The sequence below is a fragment of the Homo sapiens genome, chromosome 6 (genome assembly GCF_000001405.40).
Source record: "Homo sapiens chromosome 6, GRCh38.p14 Primary Assembly".
NCBI lineage: Eukaryota > Metazoa > Chordata > Mammalia > Primates > Hominidae > Homo > Homo sapiens.
Window position 1 is genome coordinate 34,155,838 of NC_000006.12, and position 17,605 is coordinate 34,173,442.

A 17,605-nucleotide genomic window follows, 5' to 3' on the forward strand; every position below is an offset into this window, starting at 1 on the left:
CTATCTTCAGAAGCTAAGAGAACTTAGCCAGGAGTTGGGCTTCAACCCCCTACGCCCAGCCCTGTGCCATGTCTGTCCAGGCAAACTAAAGCCCCATATGCTGAGAGAGATTGTCACTAACATGTGTCATTACCTGTGCAATATTTTAATATTTTTACTAATAATACAGCCATGTCCTGCCAGGGGCCCAAGCGCTGAGGACAGAGGGACAGAGTGGAGAGCCAGGGCAGGCAGGCACTCCATGAAAAGAGCTATTTTAGGCCGGGTGCGGTGGCTCATGCCTGTAATCCCAACACTTTGGGAGGCCGAGGAGGGTGGATCATCTGAGGTCAGGAGTTTGAGACCAGCCTGGCCAGCTTGGCGAAACCCCGTCTCTACTAAAAATACAAAAATTAACTAGGCGCGTAGTCCCAGCTTCTCAGGAGGCTGAGGCAGGAGAATCGCTAAATCCAGGAGATGGAGGTTGCAGTGAGCCAAGATTGCGCCATTGCACTCCAGCCTGGGCGACAGAGCGAGACTCCATCTAAGAAAGAAAGAAAGAGAGAAAGAGAGAGAGAAAGAAAGAGAGAAAGAAAGGAAGAAAAGAAAAGAGCTATTTTAAAAGTTAAAAGTGCAAATGTCAAGGAGTGTGTGGGTAGGGAGAGGTGTGTGAGTTTCACACACTGGAGCCAACTGAAGCTCAAGTGCTCCCAGGCCCCACCCTCTCAGGCAAAGTGGGGGAGAGGGCCCTGGGGCCTCTGCCCTATTCCAGGTCCGTTAACAGACCGGGATGTGAAAACTGCAGCACTAACAGCTGTGTATTGTCACCATCTGCCCCATTTGAAAGACAAAGGGACTGAGTGGGAGATGTGAAGTGGTTTGTCCAAGGGCACTGGATGAATCTCCAAGTCCCGTCACTTCCAACTCCAAAACATATTCTGCATCTACACATCCACATGGGGGGAACTCAGAGGTAATGTTGAGCAAAAGAAGCCAGACTCAAGCAGACATGCACAAACTCTATGTGATTCCATTTCTACAAAGTATAAAAACCGGCCTATAGTGAGAGAAGTCAGAATATTGGTTACCTTTGAAGTGGGTAGAGACCAAAAGGGACATGCAGGGGCCCCTGGGGGCTTCTTCCTTCACCTGGGTGCTGTTCTGTCCTTCACCTGGGTGCTGATGACATGGGTGTGTTCACTCTGAAAGTGTTTTGTTTCAATAAATACATGGAGGGGGTGCAGTGGCTCATGCCTGTAATCCCAACACTTTAGGAGGCCAAGGCAGGAGGATCGCTTGAGCCCAGAAGTTTGAGACCAGCCTGAGAAACATAAGAAGACCCTGTCTCTACAAAAAATAAACAATAAAAAAAAATAGCCAGGTATGGTGGTATGTGCTTGTGGTCACAGCTACTCAGGAGGCTGAGGTGGGAGGATCACTGGAACACAGGACGTTGAGGCTGCCGTGAGCTGAGATTGCACCACTGCACTCCACCCTGGGTGACAGAGTGAGACCATGTCTGTAAATAAATAAATAAAGGAATTCCAAAGGTGTCCAGTTCCCAGAAATGCCCCTGCACTCGGGATGGCTTGAAACAGGAGCTCCAAGCATCTCCACCTCTCCCTCCAGCTCACCTCCGCCTCGCCCTGCAATCCAGCCTCATCCAGGTGGCAGGAAGTACGCTGCTGCATCTAGGATTCTTCAGCTGCAAACAGCAGGATGCCTCTGGCCAATTTAAGCAATAAATGTAAAAATTGTAAAAGAAAATAACAGGAACTGACTTGACAACACACGTGTAACTTGCTGACGGTCACTGCTGTTCACTGAGAGGACGTGAGCTGCCTTCCAGGCTCCCTTAGGATAATGGCAGCCACCGTAACCCAGCCTCTTTGCATAGCCCCCCAAAGCCATGCAGAACAACAGGGAGAGCAAAGAAAGTCATTCCTACACCCTGCCCTTAACATCATCTGTGGATGGAGCACTACAAACTCCTTCCACAACCAAGTAGAGAAATAAACATCTGAAAATGACAGAACAAGGTCTGGAGCCCAGAGAGTACACAGTCCGGTGGAGACTCCATACAAAAGAGGAGAGGGCAGCCAAGGCCTGAGTGTAGACACAAACAATGACCCCAGAGAGAGCAAGGCCTGCTCTGAGTGGGGCAATGCTGAGAAAGGGCTGATGCTGGGTGGATCAGAGCACGGACTTCTGGGGGAATTGAGAATGTGCAGGGCCAGAGTGGCAGTCTTGAAAGGGCTGAGGAAGTGGAAGGGAGAGGGGGCGACCCGAAAGGGGAAGGTGTCCCTTGGAAGCTTGGTGGTGAACGCAGAGAAGGGAGTAAGCTGTGGAAGTTAAAGGTTTTACAAAACAATAACAATCACAAAATCAAAAGACGTATCATCCCCTCCCCACAACAAAAGTATCACTGATTTTTTTAAAAAAATTCTTTAGAGGCTGGGCGTGGTGGCTCACGCCTGTAATCCCAGCACTTTGCGGGGCTGAGGCAGGTGGATCACTTGAGTCCAGGAGTTCGAGACCAGCCTAGACAACATGGTAAAACCTCATAGCTACCAAAAAATACAAAAATTAGCTGGGTGTGGTGGTGTGCACCTGTAGTCCCAGCTACTGGGGGAAGATGGGGGAGGCCTGAGGCAGGAGGATCGCTTGAGCCCAGGAGGTTGAAGCTGCAGTGAGCTGAGATGGTGCCACTGCACACCAGCCTGGGCAACAGAGCCTAGGGGAAAAAAATTTCTTTAGAAGAGGGTGCCCTTGAACTAAGAAACCTAGTAATCCACCCAAACCCCCTGCTTCTGTCTGCAAGTGCCTATATTGCTGGTCAAGGGAAATAGCAGATATTTCAACATGAACTGAAAAAAGCAAACATTCATACGAATCTACTATAAGAAAAAAATAGAAAGTGAGAATCAAAACATTTTAGCTGATGAAAATTCTCCTCCAGAAAAATACCAAGCAGAAAACTGTAACACAATACTCCAACCCAAACTAAGTATTCTTACATAAGCATTTGCAGCCTGAAACACCCTTTAAATAAAAACTTTTAAAACACCAAACAGAAATAGACCAAAAAAGGGGAAAAGCAGGAAATGAGAGTTAACAAAAATCAGGAAAGAAATTAAAGAAAAAGTGACAGATCTGGGCAACATAGTGAGAAATACAAAATTAGCTAGGTGTGGTGGCGCACGCCTGTAGTCCCAGCTACATGGGAGGCTGAGATGGAAGGATCCCTTGAGCCCGGGAGGCAGAGGTTGCAGTGAGCTGAGATTGTGCCACTGCACTCCAGCCAGGGCAATGTAGTGAGACCCTGTCTCAAAAAAAAAAAAAAAGAAAAGTCAAAATCATTTCAGAAATGAAGATTAAATTGCAAGGTACTCACCCATAAAAATAAAAATTAAAAATATGGCCAGGTACAGCAGCTCATGCCTGTAATTGCAGCACTTTGGGAAGCCGAGGTAGGCAGATCATCTGATATCAGGAGTTCGAGACCAGCTTGGCCAACATGGTGAAACAGTAGAGACAGGTATCTGTCTCTACTAAAAATCCAAAAATTAACCAGATGTGGTGGTGCACGCCTGTAATCACAGCTACTCATGAAGCTGAGGCAGGAGAATCACTTGAGCCCAGGAGGTGGAGTTTGCAATGAGCCAAGATTGGGCCATTGCACTCCATCCTGGGTGACTCCATCTCAAAAAAATATAAATATAAACATAAAATAAAATAAAATATTTAAATAAATAAATTGAAAGATACTCTAAGGGGAAATTAAATTTAATGGAAAATATAATAAGAGATTCATGAAAGAAATGAAAAGAGCCAAGAGAACAGAAATAAAATCAATAAAAAGAGTTTTCCACCAGGCACAGTGGTACATACCTGTAATCTCAGCACTTTGGGAGGCTGAGACAGGAGAGTTGCTTGCATCCAGGAGTTCGAGACGAGTCTAGGCAACAAAGTGAAACCTCATCTCTACAAAAAAATTTAAAAGTATCCAGGCATAGTTGTGCACGTCTGTAGTCCCAGCTCCTCAGGAGGCTAAGGTGGGAGGATCACTTTAGCCCAGGAGGTTGAGGTTGCAGTGAGCTAGGATTGTGCCACTGCACTCCAGCCTGGGTGACAGAGGGAGCCATGTTGCAAAAAAAAAAAAGATATTTTTTTAAATGTCAGAGAGAAAGAGAAAGACATGGCTAAAGAAGATAGGCAAAGATAATCCAACATACACATAATTGGAGTGCCTGAAGAAGAACAAAACAACAGAAAAAATATCAAACTAAAGCATAACCCCTCCCCAGGCAAAAAGAGGAAACTTTCTAGAAATGAACAACTTGAGTCTACAAATTGAAGGGGCCCATCAAGTATTTAGAGAAGTTGACCTGGAATAGTGGACTCTGAATTATATCTTAGTAAAAACCTGGAAAAGGAGAAAGGCACCTTTACCATGGAAAATCTGGTGGACTCCACCTTAAGCAGGTGATCCAGTTCAGCATCACCACTGACATTGTGTGTCCCCAGATGTGCTACAGAAAGTACATGATACCACCTAGGTAGCATTCTTGCTAAAAATGCTTTGTTTTGTTTTGTTTGAGATGGAGTCTCGCTCAGTCACCCAGGCTGGAGTGCAGTGGCACGATCTCGGCTCACTGCAACCTCCGCCTCCCAGGTTCACTCCATTCTCTTGCCTCAGCCTCCCAAGTAGCTGGGACTACAGGTGCCCGCCACCACGCCTGGCTAATTTTTTGTATTTTTAGTGGAGATGGGGTTTCACTGTGTTAGCCAGGATGGTCTCAATCTCCTGATCTCATGATCCGCCGCCTCGGCCTCCCAAAGTGCTGGGATTACAGGCGTGAGCCACCATGCCCGGCCTCTTGCTAAAAATGTTTTAACCTGAATCTAATTATGAGGAAACCATCACATATATATATTTATATACATATATATACACACACATATACTCATATATATTTATATCTATACAACCCCACACACACAAACACATATATATATATATATATATATATATATATATATATATATATATTTAGAAGTGGGGATCTCACTGTGTTGCCCAGGCTGGACTTGAACTCCCAGTCTCAAGGAATCCTTCTGCCTCAGCCTCTCGAGTAGTTGGGATTACACACACACCATACCACCTGGCATCAGACAAAAATAGTAGGGGCTGGGTGCGGTCGCACGCCTGTAATCCCAGCACTTTGGGAGGCCGAGGCGGGTGGATCACCTGAGGTCAGGAGTTCAAGACCAGCCTGGCCAACATGGTGAAACCCCATCTCTACTAAAACTACAAAAATTAGCCAGGCATGGTGGCGGACACCTGTAATCCCAGCTACTCGGGTTCTGAGACAGGAGAATGGCTTGAACCCAGAAGCAGAGGTTGCAGTGAGCCAAGATCAAGCCACTGCACGCCAGCCTGGGCCACAGAGCAAGAACCTGTCTCAAAAAAAAAAAAAAATTAGCTGGGTATGGTGATGCGTGACTGTAATCTCAGCTACTCGGGAGGCTGAGGCAGGAGAATTGCTTGAGCCCAGAAGGTGGAAGTTGCAGTGAGCTGAGATTGTGCCACTGCACTCCAGTCTGGGCGACAGAGTGAGAGTCCGTCTCAAAAAAAAAAAAGAAAGAAAGAAAAGAAAAGAAAGTGGCTGCTTTACGTGTTATGGGGGAAGTGGGGGATTCTAGGAGGTGGAGGATTCTAGGAGGTGGGGGATTCTAGGAAAAGGGGGATTCTGAACAGACATTGTCCACTATGCAGGGTGAACCCTGGATAACCTTAGAGCCCAGAGGAGAAGCAGCAGGCTCAGACCTGGGTGAGGGCAGGGAGGCTGCTGGGCAAACACCAGGGTTGGGCCTTGGAGTGATGGGCACTCCAGGTTGCCTCACGTGCCCCTGCCCTGCACAGCAGCGGGCTTAGACCAGCCTGGTGTTTTCTCCCAGGAACCTGGAAGAGAGAGAGAGAGAGATTGACTCTAATTGTGTGCTGCACCTGTCATTCATGAATTGGGACACTCACCGCCCTGCAGCCTGAGAGGAAATGAAAATCTGCCCACATATGGAGAAGGAAGAGGGAAAATGAGCTTGCCTCCTTAGACCTGGCCGTGTCCCTGCCCACCTCTGACCATGGCTCCCCTTCATGCAGCTGAAAGGGGCCTCTGTTCTTCCCAGCTCCAGTCCTCCCACAAGTACAAAGCGAAGAGGTCAGAAGCCCAAACCAAGCAGCTGGGGGGAATCATTCAACAAGCCCAAGGTCCAGGGAGGGTGTGGGCACAGGGTCCCCTCTGATGGGGGAAGGAGTTGGGACTTACTGCAAGGCAATGGACGCTGGTGATGAAACCTTTTAGGAAAATCCTCTTGATGTAGAGTGGATAATGGCCCCAAGGGGGCAAAGCTGGAGGCAGGGAGGCCCATTAGGAAGCTGTTGGGGTAATCCTAAGGGTCACACAGAGCTCAGACAGGTGGCAGGGGGTGGAGAAGGAAAAGATGCAGAGACGATAGGGGAGAGTCGGCCTGGCTCGGGTCACGGGGGCGGGCTCAGAAGGGACCCATCTAGGAGGTGTAGAGCTGAGCCAATGATGCCAGTGTTGGTTGATGTTGGGAACACAGGAGAAGCAGAATTGGGGTCTGCCAGGGAAAGATTCAGGGATCCCCAATAATATCTTCAAATATTTCCAGGCAGCAGGTTGAATATTCTCATTCCATGGCCCAAGGAGGAGAACTTGTCCAGAGAGAGAAACCACAGACAGGAAGAAGTGTCTTCCACATGGCGAATCCAAGTCAGGAGGCTGAAGCAGTCGGCCACCGCGGGAACGGCTGCCCCAGGGAAAGGGAGGTCCTTGCCCGGCAAGGTGTGCACTGGAGGACCAGCATCACTGCATGGCCACGTGTCACAGATACTGCAGGTGACTCAAGCATCAGACAACAAGGAGATCAAATTTCTTTTCTTTTCTTTTTTTTTTTTTTTTTTGAGACAGAGTCTTGCTCTGTTGCCCATCCTGGAGTTCAGTGGCACAATCTCAGCTCACTGCAACTTCCTCCTCCCGGGTTCAAGCGATTCTGCTGCCTCAGCCTCCCTAGTAGCTGAGATTACAGGTGCACACCACCACGCCAGCTAATTTGCTTTTTGTTTTTTGTTTTTGAAACGGAGTCTCACTCTGTCACCCAGGCTGGAGTGCAGTGGCGCGATCTCAGCTCACTGCAACCTCCGCCTCTTGGGTTCAAGCAATTCTCTGCCTCAGCATCTCGAGTAGCTGGGATTACAGGCGCCAACCACCATACCTGGCTACTTTTTGTATTTTTAGTAGAGACAGGGTTTCACCATCTTGGCCAGGCTGGTCTTGAACTCCTGACCTCGTGATCCACCCACCTCGGCCTCCCAAAGTGCTGGGATCACAGGCTTGAGCCACCGCACCCAGCCCATGCCTAGCTAATTTGTATATTTTCAGTAAAGACTGGGTTTCACCGTGTTGGCCAGGCTGGTCTCAAAGTCCTGACCTTAGGTGATCCACCCGCCTCGGCCTCCCAAAGTGCTGGGATTACAAGCGTGAGCCACCGTGCCTGGTCAGGAGATAAAATTTCTATGATTCTCTGAGAGGCAACATGAAGAACACGAAGAACGCAGGACTTGGAGCCTCGGGTCTGAGACAACCACAAAGCTTGGCCTTGGCCAAGTCCCTAAACCTCTCTGAAAAGTAGCTGTAGAGAGGAATGAAAATCTGTCATGGACTGTATGAGGAACCAGTGAGAGGCTGAAGGTGACCCACTTTGTAACCATGAAGAACTCTCCCAGGCAGGAGAGCTACTCAATGTGGGGGCAATGGGGGCGATCACAAGCTTGGGAGCAGATGACTCGGTACCACATTCCAGGCCTGCACCGAGCCTCCCCGGGCCTCCCGCGCCTCCTCCCTCCAACCACATCTGCCGAAAGTGTTGCCAGCCAGGAGACCCTCACAGTGCAAGAGTAACAGAATCGGGGAGCGCGTGTCCCTGCTGTAGCAGATGTGCCTGGGCAGCTACTGATACCCCTCCCCACAGGGACAGAAGCTGCTCCCTCCTCTCGAGAAGACAGGGATCTTAGGAAGGAGGACAGGGCAGCTGCTTTCTCAGCCGGCCTGGTTCTTTGACAGGTTCTGACTCAGCCCTCAGTCAACACTGGCCAGCAGAGGGCACTCCAACACCCCTTTTGGTCCTTTCAACCTCGTTTCTCTTTTTGACCTTTTCCTTTCTCTCTCTTTTTTTTTTTTTTTCTTGAGACGGAGTCTTGCTCTGTTGCCCAAGCTGGAGTGCAGTGGCAGATCTCGGTTCACCTCGGCTCACCGCAACCTCCACCTTCCGGGTTCAAGCGATTCTCCTGCCTCAGCCTCCCTAGGAGCTGGGATTACAGGCACCTGCCACCACGCCCGGCTAATTTTTTGTATTTTTAGTAGAGACGGGGTTTCACCATGTTGACCAGGCTGGTCTCGAACTCCTGACCTTGTAATCCGCCCGCCTCGGCCTCCCAAACCGCTGGGATTACAGGCGTGAGCCACCACGCCAGGACTATTTTTCCTTTTTTTAAATTATTTTTTAATTTTTGTGGATACATAGTAGGTGTATATATTTTACGGGTTACATAAGACATTCTGATGCACGCATGCAATGTGTAATAATCACATCAGGGTAAATGTATCCATCACCTGAAGCATTTATCCTTTGTGTTACACACAATCCAATTATATTATTTGTTTTTTTAAATGTACAATTAAATTATTTTTTACTATAGCCCTGGCACAGTGGCTCATGCCTGTAATCCCAGCACTTTGGGAGGCCAAGGCGGGCTGATCACTTGAGGTCAGGAGTTTGAGACTAGCCTGGCCAACATGGTAAAACCCCATCTCTACTAAAAATACAAAATGAGGCAGGCGTGGTGGTACATGCCTGTAATCCCAGCTACTCAGGAGGCTAAGGCACGAGAATCACTTGAACCCAGGAGGTGGAGGTTGCAGTGCGTCGAGATCACTGCACTCCAGCCTGGGCAACAGAGTGAGACTCTGTCTCAAAAAAATAAAAAATAAAAAAATATATTTTTTACTCTAGTCACCCTGTTGTGCTGGCAAATACTAGGTCTATCCATTCTTTCTATTTTTTGTATCCATTAACCATCTCCACTTCCCCGCCACCCCCCAACTACCCTTCCCAACCCGCTGGTAACCATCCTTCTACTCTCTATCTCCATGAGTTCAATTGTTTTTATTTTTAGTTCTCACAAATAAGTGAGAACATGCAAAGTTTGTCTTTCTGTGTCTGGCTTATTTCACTTAACATGATGACCTCCAGTTCTATCCATGTTGTTGTAAACGACAGCATCTTATTTTTTTTATCGCTGAATAGTGCTCCATTGTGTATAAGTACCACATTTTCTTTATCCATTCATCTGCTGATGAACATTTAGGTTGCTTCCAAATCTTGGCTACTGTGAATAGTGCTGCAGAAAAATGGGAGTGCAGATATCTCTTCGACACACTGATTTCCTTTCTTTGGGTGTATACCTAGCAGTGGGATTGCTGGATCATATGGTACTTCTATTTTTAGTTTTTTGAGGAACCTCCAAACTGTTCTCCATAGTGGCTGTACTACTTTACATTCTCACCAACAGTGTATGAGGGTTTTCTTTTCTCCACAACACCCCCAGCATTCATTATCGCCTGTCTTGGAATAAAAGCCATTTCAACTGGGGTGAGATGACATTTCATTGTAGTTTTGATTTGCATTTATCTGATGATCAGTGATATTGAGTACATTTTCATATGCCTGTTTGCCATTTGTATGTCTTCTTTTACGAAATGTCTATTCAGACCTTTTGCCCACTTTTTATTAGATTTTTATTAGGTTATTCCTTATAGAGTTATTTGAACTCCTTATATATTCTGGTTATTAATCCCCTGTCAGACGGGTAGTTTTGATATATTTTCTACCATTTCTTGGGTTGTTTCTTCCCTTTGTTGATCGGTTCCTCTGCTGTGCTGGAGCTTTTTAACATGATATGGTCCCATTTGACCATTTTTGTTTTGGTTGCCTGTGCTTGTGGGGTATTAGTCAAGAAATTTCTGCCCACTCCAATGTCTTGGGGGGTTTCCCTAGTGTTTTCTTTTAGTAGTTTCATAGTTTGAAGTCTTAGATTTAAGTCTTTAATCCATTTTGATTTGATGTTTGTATATGGTGAGAGATAGGGGCCTACCTTCATTCTTCTGCATATGGATATCCAGTTTTCCCAGCATCGTTTATTGAAGAGACTGTCCAAGAGACTGTATGTTCTTGGCACCTTTGTCAAAAACGAGTTCACTGTAAATGTAAGGATTTATTTCTGGCTTCTCTATTCTGTTCCACTGGTCTATGTCTCCGTTTTTATGCCAGTACCATGCCATTTTGGTTCCTATAGCTCTGTAGTATAATTTGAAGTCAGGTAATGCGATCTCTCCACTTTTGTTCATTTTGCTTAGGATAGCTTTGGCTATTCTGGGTCTTTTGTGATTACATATAAATCTTAGGAATTTTTTTTCTATTTCTGTGAAGGATGTCATTGGTATTTTTGTAGAGATTGCATTAAATCTGTATACTGCTTTGGGTAGTATGGACATTTTAACAATATTGATTCTTCCAATCCATGAACATGGAATATCTTTCCATTTTTTGTGTGTCCTCTTCAATGCCTTGCATCTGTGTTTTATAGTTTTGATTGTAGCGATCTTTCACTTATTTGGTTCAGTTAATTCCTAGGTATTCTATTTTATTTGTAGCTATCACAAATGAGATTACTTCCTTGATTTCTTTTTCAGATTTTTCACTGTTGGCATGTATAAATGCTACTGATCGTTATGTGTTGATTTTGTATCCTGCAACTCTACTGAATTTATCAGTTGTAATAGTGTTTTGGTGGAGTCTTTAGGTGTTTCTAAATGTAAGATCATATCATCTGCAAACAAGGATAATTTGACTTCTTTCTTTCCAAGTTGGATGCCCTTTATTTCCTTCTCTTGTCTGATTGTTCTAGCTATGCCTTCCAGTGCTATGTTGAACAACAGTGGTAAAAGTGGGCATCCTTGTCATGTTCCAGATCTTAGAGGAATGACTTTCAGTTTATCCTCATTCAGTTTGATACTAGCCATGGATCTGTCATATATGGCTTTTATTATGTTGAGGTATGTTCCTTCTACCCAGTTTTATCACGAAAGGATGTTGCATTTTATCAAATGCTTTTTCAGCATCAGTTGGTTTTTGTCCTTCGTTCTGTTGATATGATGTATCACATGGATTGATTTGCATATGTTTAATCATTCATGGGATAAATCTCACTTGGTGATGATGAACGATCTTTCCAATGTGTTGTTGAATTCAGTTTACTAGTATTTTGTTGAGGATTTTTGCATCAATATTCATCAGCAATATTAGCCTGTAGTTTTTTTTAATGTATCCTTGTCTGGTTTTGGTATCAGGGTAATAGTAGCCTTATGGAATGAGTTGGAAATATTCTCTCCTTCTCTATTTTTTGGTCTAGTTTGAGTAGGATCTGTATTCATTCTTCTTTAAGTCTTTGGTAGAATTCAACAGTGAAGTCATCAGGTCTCAGGCTTATCTTTGCTGGAGACTTTTTATTATGGCTTCTGATATGGTTTGGATCTCTCTCTCCACCAAATTTCATGTGGAATTGTAATCCCCAATGTTGGAGGTGGGGCCTGGTGGGAGGCGACTGGATCATGGAGGTGTTTCTCATTAATGGTTTAGCGCCATCCCTTTGGTGCTGTTCTTATGAGGGTGCATGAGTCTAGGCCGGGCGCAGTGGCTCAAGCCTGTAATCCCAGCACTTTGGGAGGCCCAGGCGGGTGGATCACCTGAGGTCGGAAGTTCGAGATCAGCCTGACCAACATGGAGAAACCCTGTCTCTACTAAAAATACAAAATTAGCCAGGCGTGGTGGCACATGCCTGTAATCCCAGCTACTCGGGAGGCTGAGGCAGGAGAATCGCTTGAACCCGGGAGGCGGAGGTTATGGTGAGCCGAGATCACACCATTGCACTCCAGCCTGGGCAACAAGAGCAAAACTCCATCTCAAAAAAAAAAAAATAGTGAATGAGTTCTCAAGAGATCTGATTGTCTAAAAGTGTGTACCACCTCCCTCCTCATCCTGTCGCTTGCCCCTGCTCTGGCCGTGTAATGTGCAAGCTCCTACTTCACCTTCTGCCATGACTGCAAGCTTCCAAAGGCCTCCCCAGAAGCCAAGCAGATGGCAGCATTATGCTTCCTGTACAGCTTGCAGAACCATCAGCCAATTAACCTCTTTTCTTTAGAGATTACCCAGTCTCAGGTATTTCTTTCTTGTAATGTGAGCACAGACTAATACAGCTTTGATATCATTACTTGTTATTGGTTTATTCAGGTTTTGGATTTCTTCATGGTTCAATCTTGGTAGGTGGTGTGTGTCTAGGAATTTATCCATTTCTTCTAGATTTTCCAATTTATTGGCATATAGTTGCCCATAATAGCCATAATGATCCTTTGAGTTTCTGCGATATTGGTCGTAATATCTCCTTTTCCATCTCTGATTTTATTTATTCGGGCCTTCTCTCTTTTTTCTAGTTAGTCTGGCTAAGGGTTTGTCAATTTTATTTACCTTTTCAATAAAACAACTTTTTGTTTCACTGATATTTTGTATTATTTTCGTCATTTCAATTTCATTTATCTCTGCTCTTTATTATTTATTTTCTTCTACTAATTTTGGTTTTGGTTTGTTCCTGATCTTGTAGTTCTTTAAGATGCATCATTATGTTGTTTATTTGAAGTTTTTCTTATTTTTTGATGTAGGCACTTTTAAGTATAAATTTCCCTCTTAGTACTGCTTTTGCTGTATCCCGTAGGTTTTGGTATGTTGTTTTCTATTATCATCTGTTTCAATAACTTTTTCAACTTTCTTCTTAATTTCTTCGTTGACCCACTGGTCATTCAGGAGCATATTATTTAATTTCCATTTGTTTGTATAGTTGCCAAAATTCCTGTTGTTATTGATTTCTAGCTTTATTCCATTGTAGTCAGAGAAGATGCTTGATATTATTTCAAATTTTTTTGAATGTTTTAAGTTGTATTTTGTCACCTAACATTTGGTCTACTCTTTTTTTTTTTTTTTTTTTTTTGAAACAGAGTCTCACTCTGTCACCCAGGTTGGAGTGCAATGGCACAATCTCGGCTCACTGCAACCTCCACCTCCTGGGTTGAAGCAATTCTCCCAGCTCAGCCTCCTGAGTAGCTGGGACTACAGGTGTGCACCACCATGCCTGGCTAATTTTTGTATTTTTAGTAGAGAAGGGGTTTCACCATGTTGGCCAGACTGCTCTCTAACTCCTGACTTTAAGGGATCCACCTGTCTCGGCCTCCCAAAGTGCTGGGATTACAGGCATGAGCCACTGCGCCCAGGCTTTTTTTCTTTTTTTCAGACAGAGTCTCATTCTGTCACCCAGGATGGAGTGCAGTGGCATGATCTAGGCTCACTGCAACCTCTGCCTCCCAGGTTCAAGCAATTCTCATGCCTCAGTCTCCTGAGTAGCTGGGACTACAAGTGCATGCCACCATGCCCAGCTAAATTTTTATTATTTATTTATTTATTTATTTATTTTAGACAGAATCTCTCTCTGTAGCCCAGACTGCAGTACAGTGGTGTAATCTTGGTCCCCTGCAACAACCACCTCCTAGGTTCAAGTGATTCTCCTGCCTTGGCCTCCCGAGTAGCTGGGACTACAGATGCATGCCACCACACCTTGCTAATTTTTGTATTTTCAGTAGAGATGGGGTTTTGCCATGTTGACCAGGTTGGTCTCGAACTCCTGACCTCAGGGGATCTGCCTGTCTTGGCCTCCCAAAGTGTTGGGATTACACTTTTGTATTTTTAATAGAGATGGGGTTTCACCATGATAGCCAGGCTGGTTTCAAACTCCTGGCCTCAAGTGACCCACTTGCCTCAGCCTCCAAAAGTGCCACAATTACAGGTGTGAGCCACCACATCTGGCTTTGGTCTACATACTTTCTTTTTCCCTTCTTATAGTTTTTGTCTTGAAATCTATTTTGTCTGATATCAGTATAGCTGCTCCCGCTCTTTTTTTGTTTTCATTGGCATGGAATATCTTTTCCTATCCTTTTATTTTCAGCCTATATGTGTATTCATAGGTGAGGTGTGTTTCTTGCAGGCAACAGATTATTGGGTCTTGTTTTTTTATCCATTGAGCCATTCTATGTCTTTTGATTGGAGAGTTTAGTCCATTTACATGCAATGTTATTCTTGATAAGTAAGGACTTACTTCTGCCATTTTGTTATTTGTTTTCTGGTTGTTTTGTGATCTTCTCATCCTCTTTCCTTTCTTCCTGTCTTTTTTTGTAGTGAAGGTGATTTTCTCTGGTGATATGATTTAATTTCCTGCTTTTTTTATTTTTTGTGTATCTGTTGTGTTTCTCAATTTGAGGTTACCATGAGGCTTGCAAATACTATCTTATAACCCATTATTTTAAGCTGATAACAACTTAATTCTGCTTGCACAAACTAACAAGCAAGAAGAAAACTAGTAAAAACTCTACACTTTAACTTTGTCTCCCCACTTTTTCATAGAAACAACAAAGCCTCATGGAGCCACCAGGCCTGGCCCCAATTGGCAGAGTTTTTAAATGACCAGTTGCAGCGCTGGCCGTGTTTCAGCTCACTGAGTCCTCTCACGTGTTGCTGATGAGAATGGGAAACATGCTTGACCTTTCTGGCAAGCAGCTCAATTGTGCATAGGACTTGAGGAGGATTCAGCTCTTCGATCTGCTAATCCCATTTCTAGGAATCTCTCTCTGACATAATTTAAAAAGGGGTCAGAGGTTTATGTCCCAGCATCTGAAATTCATTCCATCATTACAGTAATAATAATAATAATAATAATAATAACAATAATAAAAGAAAAAATATAAATGTCCAACAAGAGACAATTGGTAAAACATATTAAGAGTGAAGGATAGGTCAGGCATGGTGGCTCACACCTGTAATCCCAGCACTTTGTGAGGCTGAGATGGGTGGATCACATGATGCCAGGAGTTAGAGAGCAGTATAGGGCCAATATGATGAAACCCCATCTCTACTAAAAATACAAAAACTAGCCGGGTGCCCTGATGTGTGCCTGTCAACCCAGCTACTCAGGAGGCTGAGGCAGGAGGATTACTTGAACCCAGGAGGCAGAGGCTGCAGTAAGCTGAGACTGTGACGCTGCACTCCAGCCTGGGCAACAGAGAGAAACTCTGTCAAGAAAGAGAGAGAAAAAAAGAAAGAAAGAAAGAGAGAGAGAGAGAGAGAGAGGAAGGAAGGAAGGAAGGAAGGAAAGAAAGAAGGAAAGAAAGGAGGGAGGGAGGGAGGGAGGGAAGGAGGGAGGGAGGGAGGGAGGAAGAATGTTTACTGCCTATGTCTTGAAACGTTGTTGTAGTTACTATTTTTGATTGGTTCATCTTTTAGTCTTTGTACTTAAGAGTGTTTACACATCACAGTTACAGTGTTATAATATTCTATGTTTTTCAGTGTACTTACTATTGCCAGTGAGTTTTGTACTTTCAGATGATGTCTTATTGCTCATTAACGTTATTTTCTTTCGGATTGAAGAACTCTCTTTTGCATTTATTTTGGACTTTGATGAAATCCCTTAGCTTTTGTTTGTCTGAGAAAGTATTTCTCCCTCGTGTTTGAAGGGTATTTTCACCAGATATACTATTCTACGGTAACAGTTTCTTTCCTTCAGCACTTTAAATATGTCATGCCACTCTCTCTTGGCCTGTAAATCTCCCACTGAAAAGTCTGCTGCCAGGTGTGCTGGAGCTCCGTTGTATTTTGTTTGTTTCTTTTCTCTGGCTGCTTTTAGTATCCTTTCTTTATCCTTGACCTTTTGGAGTTTGATTATTAAATGTTTTGAGGTAGTCTTCTTTGGGTTAAATCTGCTTGCTGTTCTAGAACCTTCTTGTACTTGGGTATTGATATCTTTCTCTAGGTTTGAGAAGTTCTCTGTTATTATCCCTTTGAATAAACTTTCTACCCGTCTCTTTCTCCACCTCTTCTTTAAGGCCAGTAACTCTTAGATTTGTCCTTTGAGGCTATTTTCTGAATCCTGTAGGTGTGCTTTATTATTTTTTATTCTTTTTCCTTTTGTCTCCTCTGACTGTGTATTTTCAAATAGCCTGTCTTCAAGCTCACTAATTCTTTCTTCTGCTTGATCACTTATTTTTTTGTTTTGCTTTGTTTTTGAGGCCGAGTCTTGCTCTGTCGCCCAGGCTGGAGTACAGTGGCACGATCTCGGCTCACTGCAACCTCTGCCTCTCAGGTTCAAGAGATTTTCCTGCCTCAGCCTCCCAAGTAGCTGGGAATACAGGCACGTGCCACCACACCTGCCTGAGTTTTGTATTTTTAGTAGGGATGGGTTTTCACCATGTTGGCCAGGCTGATCTTGAACTCCTGACCTCAGGTGATCCACCCACCTCGGCCTGCCAAAGTGCTGGGATTACAGGCATAAGCCGTCGTGCCCAGCCGTGCTTGATCAGTTCTGCTATTAAGAGACTCTTGGCCGGGCACGATGGCTCAGCCTGTAATCCCAGCACTTTGGGAGGCTGAGACGGGCGGATCACCTGAGGTCAGGAGTTTGAGACTACCCTGGCCAACATGGAGAAACCCCATGTCTACTAACAATACAAAATTATCTAGGCGTAGTGGCACATGCCTGTAATCCCAGCTACCTGGGAGGCTGAGGCAGAAGAATCGCTTGAATCCGGGAGGTGGAGGTTGCAGTGAGCAGAGATCGCGCCATTGCACTCTAGCCTGGGCAACAAGAGTGAAACTCCGTCTCAAAAAAAAAAAAGAGAGAGGGAGAGAGACTCATGCATTCTTCAGTATGTGAATTGCGTTTTTTAACTTCAGAATTTCTGCTTGATTTTTAAAAATTATTTTGATCCCTTTGTTAAATGCATCTGATTTTTAAAAATTATTTCGATCCCTTTGTTAAATGCATCTGATAGAATTCTGAATTCCTTCTCTGTGTTATCTTGAATGTCTTTGAGTTTCCTCAAAACAGCTATTTTGAATTTACTGTCTGAAAGGTCACATATCTGTTTCTCCAGGAGTGGTCTCTGGTGCCTTGTTTAGTTCGGTTGGCAAGGTCATGTTTTCCTGCATGGTTTTGATGCTCATTGATGTTTGTTGGTGTCTGGACATTGAAGAGTTAGGTATTTATTGTAGTCTTTGCAGTCTGGGCTTGTTTGTACCTGTCCTTCTTAGAAAGGCTTTCCAAGTATTCAAAAGGATTTGGGTGTTGTGATCCAAGCTGCGTGTGCAATAGGGAGCAGCCCAAGCCCAGTTATGCTGTAGTTCTCGCAGACTGATAGAGGTACTGCTTTGGTGGTTTTGGATAAGATCAGAAGAATTCTCTGGATCAGCAGGCAAAGACCCTTATTCTCTTCCCTTACTTTCTCCCAAATAAATAGTCTCCCTCTCCCTCTCCCTCTCCCTCTCCCTCTCCCTCTCCCTCTCTCTCCTGAGCTACCTGGTCCTGGTCTCAGTCCTGGCGGAGGGGTGATAC

At 44.5% G+C, this 17,605-nt stretch overlaps 1 annotated feature.

Annotated features, from left to right (window-relative positions):
- Positions 7,860–8,069: an enhancer, noted in NCBI's record as "active region_24376". NCBI's record gives its function as "activates an Ori minimal core promoter by ATAC-STARR-seq in GM12878 lymphoblastoid cells {active_cell/tissue: GM12878}" and the evidence as "EXISTENCE:reporter gene assay evidence [ECO:0000049][PMID:35858748]".